Genomic DNA, 13,940 nt, shown 5'->3' with positions numbered 1-13,940 from the left:
CTCGTGAAACAAAAGGAACAGTAACAACTGGACCATCACATTGATTTGCGGGTAACCTTACACCCACTACAAATTGGTGCTCCGTGTAGGCAAAAATCTCAGAATCAGTAGAACAGATGGGCTGTTTCTAATGGAAGAAGCCTCGGCCCTGTGGTCTGTTCTGCAAATGAAAGGAGGAGGGAGAACTGTGTTAGGGAAGTTCTTTCTTTTTTCTGTTCTGTTCTGTTCTGTTCTGTTCTGTTCTGTTCTGTTCTGTTCTGTTCTGTTCTGTTGTTCTGTTCTTTCTTTTCTTTCTTTTTGAGACAGAGTCTCCCTCTGTTGCCCAGGCTGCAGTGCAGAGGCGCGATCTCGGCTCACTGCAACCTCCGCCTCCTGGTTTCAAGCAATTCTCCTGCCTCAGCCTCCCAATAGCTGGGATTACAGGCATAAGCCTATAGAAGTACGTAAAGATAAGGTAGTATTATCAAATATGTGACCCAGAGAAAAGTGACTGTTGTAAAATGTGTCTTCTGGCTTTCTAACTAGAAGGGAAGCCTCTTTGCAGGCAGCCCCCGTCTGAAAGTGTGTCTGTATTTACAGTGCTGTCAACTTGGTGGATGCTCAGTAAACATTTGTTAAATATGGACTAAGAAAGATGAGCTAGATATTTGAAGATTAAACTGTTGAACTTGGAATGAATAGTTTCTTTTCAAATGTTTCATGATGAAGTAGGAAGCCAAATCATGTTAGATGGACTGTTTCTAAGGGAAGAATCAGGTAAACCAGCTGCCTATTCCATGGATAAATCAGGATTACCTAAGCTCTTCATGCACTGCAACAAGACATCTAGGCTGTAGCTCTGTCACTAATCAGTTTCTGACTTTAAGTAGGTCACATGAACCTAAACTTCCTCATTTGTAAAATGAAACCAGATCTCTGGGAGCCCTTCCAGCTCTGACCTTCTGTGATCCTATGACTGGGAAAAGCTCTGAAACTAATAAGAAATAGACACGGGGTGCACAAAAAGACTTTTGGGGCCGGGTGCGGTGGCTCACGCCTGTAATCCCAGAACTTTGGGAGGCCGAGGCGGGCAGATCACCTGAGGTCAGATGTTCAAGACCAGCCTGGCCAACATGACGAAACCTCATCTCCACAAAAAAATATAAAAATTAGCCTGGCTTGGTGGCGGGCGCCTGTAATCCCAGCTACTTGGGAGGCTGAGGCACGAGAATCACTTGAACGCGGGAGGTGGAGGTTGCAGTGAGCTGAGATCAGGCCACTGCACTCCAGCCTGGGCGACAGAGTGAGACTCCATTGCCCCCACCCCCCGCCAAAAAAAATACTTTTTGATTATAATGGCTTAGCAGAAGAAGATGTGGGGCAGCCACATACCACAGGAATCCAACTGCTCAAAGCTGGGAATTCGATTTTCCGTTGGTAGAAGACCGGAACACATTGCAGAAGTAGATATTGTCCATCCAGCCTTAAGTGTTCCGAGATTGTTGATGTGGAAAGTCTAAGGATAGTTGTTGTGTCCCAGGCGCTCCATCTGTTGGTTTAGGTGTATGTAGATTAAAGTTGGCCACATGTTCTTTGCTCTCTTCCCATTGAGAAGTAGTCTTATTCCTTACTCTTGAAGGAGCTGGCCTCAGTGACTTGCTTAACTATAGAATATGAAAGAAGTGATAGTCCAGGATTTTCTAAGTTAAGCCATAAGGAACCTTGCATTTTCCACTGGGTCTCTTGGAATATTCTCTCTGTTAGCCCCATGCTGCCATGTAAAAAGTTCAGCTAGCTTGAGACTGCCATACTCCTAGAAAGGCCACTTGTGTGTGGCCTCTGGTCATCCTCTGGTCATGGTACCAGCTGAGGCCTACCTTCCAGTATCCCCTGCTGGATTCCACGTTTTTGTTTTTTTTTTTTTATTGAATCCTCCAGACCAACCCATCCACCATCTGAATACCTTTCAGTGACCTCCATCGACCCTACTTGGAATAAAGGGACTACCCAGCAAAGCCCTGCTCAGATTTCTGACCCACAGAAGAGTGAAATGCAATAAAATGGCTGTTGCTTTAGGTCACTAAATTTTGTAGTAGTTTGTTATACATCAGTAGATGATGGAATGGTGAGAAGTATCTGTGTTTGTGCATATAAACATTTAAGTAACTACTGCAATTAAATCCTTCCCTTTTACACCACCTTTTGAAAAATGTGTCAATTTTTATAGGACCATAGATGATATGCCAGATTTTGCAATATATTTTCTAAAGAACATAATTTTACATGAAGCGTAACACCAACCTTATATAATATTTAATCAATTTTAAGTTTAGAGCAATAAGCACGACCACATTGTGCCCAATCTATGTGTTATTTTTACAAGTTAATGCTGAAGTTCTGTCATCCCAAGCTTCTATACACAGGAATTATCCTTCTCGAATACCTAAACTTTTTTCATTATCCCTGCCTTGCAGAGTATTTAACATTCCTGCATCAACAGTAAAGAAGGGTACCTTTGCTTCATATAAAAATCATCACTTAGCTCAGTGCCAGGCATCTATTAATTTATCAATATATGTTAGCTGTAATGATGATTCATTCAATATGTCTTTAAAGAACATATAATTCAACAGTAATATACACATGTATGGAACAAGGAGAAACTATTATCACAATGGACTATAATATAGTTTCTGACTCCCTGTAAATAGAATCTGCTCTAAATTAAGCAGATGCTATAGCCATGCTTCAATATAACTCTGTTTTCAACTTCGTTATGAAATCCTTTAAGGGTGAGGCCATTTTACAAAGGACAAAGAAACTGGTGCTTCAGGAACTAAACTTTTTTGGATGAAACCCAAATGTATCTGGCATATCTTGAATTGTCTTTTATAGTCAATCCTGTTTTAGGGACATTAACAAAGGTTTATTATTACATAATTTGAGAGTCTTTCAAATAAAAGGAAAGGGCAGATCAAGGGCCATTTTCCCCAACCTCAGGAGTTAACTCCTCAGTACCTCACAGGAACCTGAAATCTTTGGAGGAAAAAAAAATAGTATTATTTTAAAAATTAAAAATAATAAAGATGGCTCTCTAAAGAAACATCTGAAATTAGTAGTAACATGCTGTAATATTATTTTCCATTGACTGTAGCCAAGGGCCTCTGCTAGCACCCATGAGAACTTTGTGTTCTTGAGAATAAGACACCTTTGCTCCAGGGCTTAGTGAGCAGGGCCTGAACTGGAGTTCCCTCCCACCACCTTAACTGAACTCTTCATGCAGGACACAGCATGTACAACCTCACATAGAGTTCCTGACCAGACAAGACTTGCTGGAAATTTCCCAGGATCTTCCTTCCTTAAGGTAGGAGTTTATAATAGGTTATAATTTATGAAAACAAAATATTTTTTCCTCCTTCCTCCCTGCAAATATTCTATACTTTTTGTATGATTCTGAGATATCTTCTCCTGTATCCTTGCCAACCACTAACATCACCATAGCCCCTCTTACAAAAATCTTTCTTTCTTTTTGGACAATGCAATTGTGCAATTCAGTGTTTTTCTGCATGTTTCTTTTATCTTTCTAAGGCTTGTTGCAAAAATATCTCTGCTGTCCATTACCTCTTCCTTAATATTCTTTCTTCTTATTCTTCTCAAAGAAATGACCAGCAATTAAAGCAATTCCTGTATACCAAAAACAAAGCTTTCAAGGTTGTTTTAAATGGGATACAGAAATAAACACACATACGTCTAATTTCAACTAAACTGAACTTGTAGTAGCAAAGAGATTTCTGCATTTTTTTTTCTTTTGAGATGGAGTCTCGCTCTGTCACCCAGGCTGGAGTGCAATGGCTCAATCTCAGCTCACTGCAACCTCCGCCTCCTGGGTTCAAGTGATTCTCCTGCCTCAGCCTCCCAAGTATCTGAGACTACAGGCATGCGCCACCATGCCTGGCTAATTTTTGTATTTTTAGCAGAGACGGGGTTTTGCCATGTTGGCCAGGCTGGTCTTGAAACCCTGACCTCAGGTGATCCACACAGTTCGGCCTCCCAAAGTGCTGGGATTACAGGTGTGAGCCACCGCGCCCAGCCTGCATTTTTTATTATAGATATAAAGGGTCAAATATTTTACTATCAAATATTGGTAACAAATGAATTGAATTCCCTCACTGGCACCTAAACTGCTGCCAAGACTCTTCTGAACCCGTGTGGTCTTCCAAATCTTATATATCAAATGTATCAAAAAATAGCAGGATATGTTGTGTGTGTACTGCTGGGGTTGTTTATTTGTTTGTTCGTTCATTCATTTTTGTTATTCTCACTTAATTTTTTTCATCAGCATCCATCATGGGAAGCCACCTTGCCCTAGGGAGAGCTCCTGACCTAGGGTCAGGAATATATTAAGGAAGACAGCAATTAATACATTCAAAAATAATAATAATTACAAATTGTAAGTATAATGCAGGCAAAGTGAGATCATGGGGTTTTGGCTTTACTCTGGGAGTCAGAGAATTTCTCTGGGGAGGTGACATATAAGGGAAGAAATGAAAGACAGGAGAGAAATTAGCCTGACAAAGAGCAGAGAGAAGAACATTCCTGGCAAAGATATTGGCATGGACAAAGGCCCCAGGCAAGAACAAGATTAGCCCCTACGGCCAGAGTGGCCAGAGAACAGGTGCGTGAGGTGTGTAAGGGACAAAGCAGGCCAGGGCATTTGATTTAAGGTTTTTGGATATTGGTTCATTTTTCAAAAACCAATCTTTAGCCTCTTTCATCAAAAGCAACCCTGTTTTCATTATTTCTGGTAGTTCTTTTTGTTGGTTTTATTATTTCTTGGTAAAGTAACAGATAGGAAGTAGATGACGGACCTGGCTGCATGTGTCAGGTGCCTTTGCAGCCTTTTCCAGGCCACTGGAGCATTGCTAATACACCAAAGCAATAACGTATTGCATTTCATGGAACCTAAGAATCATTTATTCTCAAATGCATCTTATTTCAGAGATATTTAAATGTAAAAACTTGTACATTCTAGAATTCATGCATTATGGTTTGCTGAAAGAGAATGTTTAACTTTACAGAACTAATTTATTCCTAAGAAATAGTTTACAATTCAAAGGCCAACTCTAAACTCATAACTGATACTGAGTATTTTCACAGCTTAAAGACTTTTTTTTACCAATCGCACTAAAGTTGTTAATAAAGCAAAGGTAAAAGGTCCATAGAATGTATGAGTGTTGAATTAGTGCATAATAACATATCAGTGGAGCTAAGTTGAAATTAATATAAGAATTCAGTTAATCATCATTTGCATAAATTCAGCCTGTAGACTAAAAATAGGGCCATATTTAAATTTTAAAAATAATGACGTGTTCAAATACAATGTTTAGAGTTCTTATTTGGATAATTCAGCAGCATTTAGACCATATTTTGATATAAAAAATAGTATAAATACTATGAGATATAACATATTTGACTTCAAAAAAGAAAAGAAAGAAGAAATTTTGCCCCTACCCTCCAAAATTATTGCTTATTTTCCCTGAATAAAAATAGATATGTATTCCACAATCTTTTTTTCCCAATTATTATATTGAGTATGTATTCCTATTTTATTTAATTTTTATTCTTGATCCTTGAAATTTATCTGTTCTGAAGCATTACAAGTAACGGAATAAAAAATGGATGAGTAAACACACTGGACTCTCCCCTGGCTCAGAAGGGCACTTGTCATTAAATCTGTAGCCAAGGAATATGTGATTCTTAATGGGTTTCCTGCAGCCTTCCTTGGAGTTTCTGCCTTCTCTTTATCTTATAAAAGGACCCCAAGGGCAGTTGGCAGGGATGGGTTTCCTCCAGGCTCCTCTGAGTGCAGATGATTCTGAGGATACATCACAACCAGAAGTCCTGCTGTCACTGGGTCTTGGGACATACCACAGGGGATACCGGTAGATGCATTTGGCACTTTATCCTAAAACCTAATTGCAGTCTCAGTGCACCAGAGGAACCAAATCATGTTCCTGCCCAAAGAAAAGTCCAGGCTGCTTAAGCCTAAACCAACCCCAGACTCTGGTCTGGCCTTCCATGAGATGGGTGTGCTGTTTTGGGGATGGGTAAAGACTAATTCCTTATAGACTGTCAGCAACTTCATTAGGAGAGAACTGAGGTATGGCTATAGGTGTCAGGGAGAAATACAATTAATCCAGATGCCCATCTCTTCAAAGATAGGGGACATCCTATCAAGCAACAATTGTTTCTTCCAGGCTTCATAGCTTACAATTACCTTTAGAAGTGTGCCTGGAGAATAGATTTGCCTTAATTCAAAACTTTTCTTTCATGGCCAATCATCTGTTGTACCCAGTTTCCAAGTCAGCCCTAATGATCTTCACTTCCTGATATTCAGTCCCCTCCCATACTGAATGCGTGTCCTATGTGACCAGTAAAATGTGGCAGATGTAACGGCATGTAACTTCTAAGGCTAGGTCATAAAAGGCATCACAGCTTCCACCTTGGGATTGCTTACTCTAGGGGAAGCCAGTTGCCATGTCATGAGGACACTCAAGCAGGCCTGTGGAGAGGCTCACAAGGAGAGGGACAGAGCTCCCCTGCCAACAGACAGCACTAACTTGCTGACAGTGAGAGTAAGCCACTTTGGAAGAGGATCCTCCCTGCAGCCCCAGTCAAGCCTTCAGATTCCTGCAGTTCTAACTGACATCTGCCTGCAACCACATCAGTGGCCCCTCCCTTCCATCACTTAAGCAGTGTGAGCTATCCAGCCTAGCTCTTCCTAGATTCCTGACCAACAGAAAAAGTGAGAGAAAATAAATGATTATTGTTTTAACCCACTATATTAGTCCATTTTCATGCTGCTGATAAAGACATACCTGAGACTGGGTAATTTATAAAGAAAAAGAGGTTTAGTGGACTCACAGTTCCACGTGGCTGGTGAGACTTCACAATCATGGTGGAAGGCAAAAGGCACATCTTACATGGCAGCAGACGAGAGAATGAGAGCTAAGTGAAAGGGCAAACCCCTTATAAAACCATCAGATCTCGTGAGACTTATTCACTACCATGAGAACAGTATGGGGAAACCACTCCCTAATTCAATTATCTCCCACCAGATCCCTCGCACAACATGTGGGAATTGTGGGAGCTACAATTCAAGATGAGATTTGGGTGGAGACACAGCCCAAGCATATCAGCCACTGTATTTTGAAATGATTTATCACAAATCATTGGAGTAACTAGAACATCATAATTGTGTCATTAGTCACCAATTGTATTTATTCCACAAACTTTTATCGAGCACCTGTTATATGTCAGGCCCTTTGTTAGGCTGGGATACAAAGAACTACAACACACAGTTGTTGCTCTCAATCCTTGGGAACACAGATGAGTAAATATGAATGACAGCACAAGATCCCATGAACAAAATGCTGTAAGAACACAACAAAAGAGGAATGATTTTCTTTCCTTTGTCAATAAAATAAGTTATTTATTTTTTCAATAAAAATGTACTTAGTGCTTTCTAGGAGCCAATCGCTGTGATCTGTGATAGATGCTGATAAAAATATGGTGAACGAGACACAAACCTTTTCCCAAGGTCAATGTCAAAAGCTGAGGAGATACCATTTAGAAAAAAGCTAAAATGAGGCCATCAAATTTTGCATATTGTGACCTTAGTGAGAGCAATTTCTGTAAAATGGTGAAAATAGATAAAAAATTTGAATAGGAAAAGGAGGAAGAGTCTGCTGGTATAGAACATATTATTTTTTCAAGAATGTTAGTGACAAAAAGGAGAAAAGAGAAAGGTCAAGAACTTGGTTCTCCTGCTTACCTTCCATAAGCTCAGCTGATTTCATCACCAGTGACTTTCTTCCCTTCTTCACTGGAGCTGGAGATACAGGTGACACAACAACGCTGACCTAAAATAGGCTCAGGGCACTAGCAGGACCCTGAGAGTGAATGCCTCCTTAAATTTTGCACCCTAACCATCTTACTCACTTCACTCTAGTCCCAGCCCTGCAGGTAAGGGATTGCTTCTTGATGTTAAAATGAGCTTTAGACAAGATAGAAACAACTGTTACAAGCTTCATCGCTGCTTAAAGACAATGACATGATGCATTAATGTAGAAAACTAACGTTCAATAACTACTGATGATAGTAGACATTCCCAAGGATAAGCATGTATAAGCAGAGTGGGTTAATTGGAGAGACTGGCTGGCTCCTCCCACCTCTAACTGGGTGGCATTCCCCACGGAGAATTGAGCAGGGTAGAGAGGCTGCCTTCGGACTTGAGGATGCTCACTCACACTAACCTGCTCTGGGGCTGAGCTCTCAAGAGACTACCCTGTAAAACCAGAATGCCAATCTTAATTCACAATGGCAACTGTAACTAGTAAGCCTAGTGCATGCCAGTGTCTGCCCACCCAGCTTGGTGAGCCTGAAATCAGAACAGGAGATGCTATGGGATTTAACTGTTAAAAGATCTTAAGGTCCCAAAGTCTGCAGCCTCCTTTTGTGTATGATGGGGGGCATAGCAGTGTACCCTCTACCCTAGAAAATGTTCTATTGGGCACACTGTGCCTCTTAGATGCTGCCTTTTCTGAGGATACATAAATGATTAAACTACTTGAGTGGATGATTCAGGGAGGATATTCTAAATGTATAATAACCCATACGTCATGGGCTCCAGTCAAGCAGAATGCCAGCAGGAGGGGGCACTGCTGGAGGCTCCCTGTTCTGCCAACTGCTGGATTGCGGGGAGTTCCAGAGTGTCTGGGAGAGGGAAGCAGTGCTGGGGGTTTGGGTATCATGACTACTTATCAACCACCTGGAAGTATTTTGATTTTTGATGATTGGCAGTCTGATTTTCAGTCTTCTTCTTGTATGTGAATATTGTGATCAGGGCACAGGCTGCCTTGGAAGCCTTGCAGCCATTCTTGCGGTGGTAACTTCTCTTTTTAACCTGAATGCATTTAATGCTGAATCAAAATTTAGTTCTCAGAGGAAAACCATATTTCCCAGTTCTTAAAGACACCCCATTGTTACCTCAACTATTACCTCTAATAAATATTATCAAATTGCAATGGCATTGATATTTTTCTTTCTCAGAACCTTTTATAAGAAGTGATATATATTAGGTTCTTCTTAAATTCTTTCTAATAAATTAGATGAATGAACAAACAATGGGAGTATTCTAATTACAATTTGCATTTCCATAAATGGCTAATAATAGTGGAATATCTTTTTATATAGTTATCTATTTGTCCATCTGTATATTTCCCCTGGTAAAAATGTTGCTTCAGATATTTTGTTCATTTTGAAAATTGCATTGTTTCCTTATTGTTCAATGTTGAGAGTTCCTTGTGTGTTCTATATACAAGTCTTTTTTTGGAGGGACACATGATTTGCTAATATTTTCTCCCAACCTATAGCATGTCTTTTCATTCTCTCAGTAGTATCATTTGCAGAGCAAAAGTTTTAAATTTTGATAAAAAATAAATTTATGACTTTTCAAAAATTGTATGGATGATGTGTTTTTTTCACATCTAAGAACTCTTTGCCTAACACGAGATGTCCATGAGAAGATCAGCCTGCTGAGAACAGGCCTTCATAAACTTGAATGAGAGATAAAGACAGACCAGCAAAGCCAAGCTCCCATCTTAACAAGGGGTGTGGTCTTCTCAGTACTCTCTCTCCCTCAGCTGTAGTTACGGTCCTGTAGATATTCTAGTGCCTCACCCAGGGTGGGGTGACCAACTCCTCCCAGCTTGTCAGGGACTTTTCCAGTATTAGCTCTGAAAGTCTCATGTCAGTCCTGGATAAACAAACTAGGAGTAGAGAGTGTTTTCTGTTCCTCAGCTGCAATGGGTTTTCCCCAGAGTCCTAAGGGTGGCAGTGCTGACTACCCTCCTCTTAGGTGAAAGCTTTTGTTCCTCGGAAGAGATAAAGGAGAAGGTCCTGGTGGGGGGTTCTTGCTCCTTTCGGCAGAGGCTGCTATTCTGCTTTCTCAGTGTGTTCCTGGTGGGGCTCCTGGAGAAGAGCTTGCAAGAGGGTGCAAACTCTCCTGTACCTGAAACTCCCAGGGGCTCTACATTCTCCTACCAGCCCACATGCAGCCTCTACCAATGTGTTAACTATTCTGGCTAGATTCTTTCTACCAGTGTCTGTGTCTGCCCCAGGTCAGCAAGATGTCTTATGTCTCCCTGCAGACACTTCTCATTCCTTAGATTTTGGGCTACTGGGTTTTCCTGCAACTTCAGTTTTCTGATGGGTTTAAGGAAAGTGATAAACTTGCAGTCTGTCTGGCAGTGGATTATCACACACAATAATGAAGTGAGGTTCTTTCAAGCTCTGTACATCTCTGAGTCAAACATTTGATTTTTAATGTGTAACTAATAAAAAATTCAACTGCACACACACAATACACACACATGCACATAAACACACACAACCCACTATATATTCAACTCATAGCTGCCATAGGTTGATGAGTATACTCATTATTGTCTTGTATTTGTCAGAAGTTCAGATAAGAGCAGGTAGGATTGGTTGTAGTTTCAGTGAACTATCCTGAAGAAGTATCATTTCCATTTCTCTTCTATGTGCAATCTAGGAATGTTGTGGAAGTTTCTTTTGCATTTAGAATGTCAGCCACCATATTGACATTCTGTCTCTCTGCACATTTGGCCCTCGCTTTCCTTTACAAATTGGATTTGTATTGTTTACTTAGATTTATTCTTGTTGCAGTCTATTAATTTAATAAATATATATTGGGTGTTTACAGAGAGTAAGTTATATTAGAGATACAAAGTACATGTTGAATTCTTATGGAAAGTCCCAATATTTTAAGAGTTTGGGGCTCAAACGTGTCTTGTAAGTTGATGTCTTGTTATTTTCAACTCTGTAGATGTCTCTGTGTTAGGAAAACTTGGATAAGCAGGTCCATAGAAATTCCTCTGCTAGCCCTGTCTCCTGGAATTTCTACATAATGGCATATCCTCAGGTAGGTACAGATTCTCTTTACAATCTATGTCTTCATTGAATGATTAACAGAAAATTTTAAACTAACTATTTGAGGGACATTATACTTATACTTGCTCTATTAATTAATAGCTATTATAACCACTATGGTAACTAGTATCTCTTTTATTACCTAGTACTATCTAATGGTTACTTCTGTCTCATAATTATCTTTAACTCATAAATATTACAAATATCATTTGTTGCATTTCTGTAGATACTCAAAAAATGTTTATTGAATTATATTGAGCTTTGCATCCCTTATCTTAATATCAATATATTTTCAAAGAAAACCTCTGTTAAAAAGGGAACTATAACACTTTTAACTGCTGTAATTTTTATTAAATACATTCATTAATATTAGTTTAACGGTTGTTTTTAATAGCAAAACATTCTAAGCAAACTAAATAATAATAGGAATGTTTTTTGCCACTCAAGTCAAGTTTTTGTCATTTTAAACCCTGTTCAAAAATTTTTTTAATTAAAATACCATTAAAGTAATGTTTTGGTATACAATTCTATGTGTGTTTTTTAAATTTTATTATTATTATACTTTAAGTTTTAGGGTACCTGTGCACAACGTGCACGTTTGTTACATATGTGTACATGTGCCATGTTGGTGTGCTGCACCCATTAACTCGTCATTTAGCATTAGGTATATCTCCTAATGCTATCCCTCCCCCCTCCCCCAACCCCACAACAGTCCCCAGTGTGTGATGTTCCCCTTCCTGTGTCCATGTGTTCTCATTGTTCAATTCCCACCTATGAGTGAGAACATGCAGTGTTTGGTTTTTTGTCCTTGCCATAGTTTGCTGAGAATGATGGTTTCCAATTTCATCCATGTCCCTACAAAGAACATGAACTCATCATTTGTTGTGGCTGCATAGTATTCCATGGTGTATATGTGCCACATTTTCTCAATCCAGTCTATCATTGTTGGACATTTAGGTTGGTTCCAAGTCTTTGCTATTCTGAATAGTGCTGCTATAAACATACATGTGTATGTGTCTTTATAGCAGCATGATTTATAGTCCTTTGGGTATATACCCAGTAATGGGATAGCTGGGTCAAATGGTATTTCTAGTTCTAGATCCCTGAGGAATCGCCGCACTGACTTCCACAGTGGTTGAACTAGTTTACAGTCCCACCAACAGTGTAAAAGTGTTCCTATTTCTCCACATCCTCTCCAGCACCTGTTGTTTCCTGACTTTTTAATGATCGCCATTCTAACTGATGTGAGATGGTATCTCATTGAGGTTTTGATTTGCATTTCTCTGATGGCCAGTGATGATGAGCATTTTTTCATGTGTGTTTTTGGCTGCATAAATGTCTTCTTTTGAGAAGTATCTGTTCATATCCTTTGCTCACTTTTGGATGGGGTTGTTTGTTTTTTTCTTGTAAATTTGTTGGAGTTCATTGTAGATTCTGGATATTAGCCCTTTGTCAGATGAGTAGGTTGCAAAAATTTTCTCCCATTCTGTAGGTTGCCTGTTCACTCTGATGGTAGTTTCTTTTGCTGTGCAGAAGCTCTTTAGTTTAATTAGATCCCATTTGTCAATTTTGTCTTTTGTTGCCATTGCTTTTGGTGTTTTAGACATGAAGTCCTTGCCCATGCCTATGTCCTGAATGGTATTGCCTAGGTTTTCTTCTAGGGTTTTTATGGTTTTAGGTCTAACATTTAAGTCTTTAATCCATCTTGAATTAATTTTTATATAAGGTATAAGGAAGGGATCCAGTTTCAGCTTTCTGCATATGGCTAGCCCGTTTTCCCAGCACCATTTATTAAATAGGGAATCCTTTCCCCATTGCTTGTTTTTCTCAGGTTTGTTAAAGATCAGATAGTTGTAGATATGCGGCGTTATTTCTGAGGGCTCTGTTCTGTTCCATTGGTCTATATCTCTGTTTTGGTACCACTACCATGCTGTTTGGGTTACTGTAGCCTTGTAGTATAATTTGAAGTCAGGTAGCGTGATGCCTCCAGCTTTGTTCTTTTGGCTTAGGATTGACTTGCCGATGCAGGCTCTTTTTTGGTTCCATATGAACTTTAAAGTAGTTTTTTCCAATTCTGTGAAGAAAGTCATTGGTAGCTTGATAGGGATGGCATTGAATCTGTAAATTACCTTGGGCGGTATGGCCATTTTCATGATATTGATTCTTCCTACCCATGAGCATGGAATGTTCTTCCATTTGTTTGTATCCTCTTTTATTTCATTGAGCAGTGGTTTGTAGTTCTCCTTGAAGAGGTGCTTCATGTCCCTTGTAAGTTGGATTCCTAAGTATTTTATTCTCTTTGAAGCAATTGTGAATGGGAGTTCACTCATGATTTGGCTCTCTGTTTGTCCATTATTGGTGTGTAAGAATGCTTGTGATTTTTGTACATTGATTTTGTATCCTGAGACTTTGCTGAAGTTGCTTATCAGCTTGAGGAGATTTTGGGCTGAGATGATGGGGTTTTCTAAATATACAATCATGTCATCTGCAAACAGGGACAATTTGGCTTCCTCTTTTCCTAATTGAGTACCCTTTATTTCCTTCTCCTGCCTGATTGCCCTGGCCAGAACTTCCAACACTATGTTGAATAGGAGTGGTGAGAGAGGGCATCCCTGTCTTGTGCCAGTTTTCAAAGGGAATGCTTCCAGTTTTTGCCCATTCAGTATGATATTGGCTGTGGGTTTGTCATAGATAGCTCTTATTATTTTGAGATACGTCCCATCAATACCTAATTTATTGAGAGTTTTTAGCTTGAAGCATTGTTGAATTTTGTCAAAGGCCTTTTCTGCATCTATTGAGATAATCATGTGGTTTTTGTCTTTGGTTCTGTTTATATGTTGGATTACATTTATTGATTTGCGTATGTTGAACCAGCCTTGCATCCCAGGGATGAAGTCCACTTGATCATGGTGGATAAGCTTTTTGATGTGCTGCTGGATTCAGTTTGC

General features: G+C 39.6%; 1 long non-coding RNA gene across 8 annotated transcripts in view; it reads left to right on the top strand.

The window, feature by feature from the left end:
* LOC124901339 (uncharacterized) overlaps window positions 1-13,940 on the top strand; it is an 84,723-nt gene that overhangs the window by 47,878 nt on the left and 22,905 nt on the right. For 4 of the 8 annotated variants that reach the window (XR_007059640.1, XR_007059633.1, XR_007059639.1 and 1 more), the window contains 2 exons: window positions 3,263-3,343; window positions 4,319-10,984. The exons of 1 other annotated variant lie outside the window; for it this stretch is intronic. This is a non-coding gene — a long non-coding RNA (uncharacterized LOC124901339). Of the gene's footprint in view, window positions 1-3,262; window positions 3,344-4,318; window positions 10,985-13,940 lie in introns of those variants that run through there. 3 more of the 8 variants (XR_007059634.1, XR_007059637.1, XR_007059636.1) reach the window with 3 other exon arrangements.

This window comes from Homo sapiens, chromosome 6 (genome assembly GCF_000001405.40).
Source record: "Homo sapiens chromosome 6, GRCh38.p14 Primary Assembly".
NCBI lineage: Eukaryota > Metazoa > Chordata > Mammalia > Primates > Hominidae > Homo > Homo sapiens.
The sequence above is the reverse complement of the archived record's forward strand: the minus strand, read 5'-3'. Positions and strand labels throughout refer to the sequence as shown.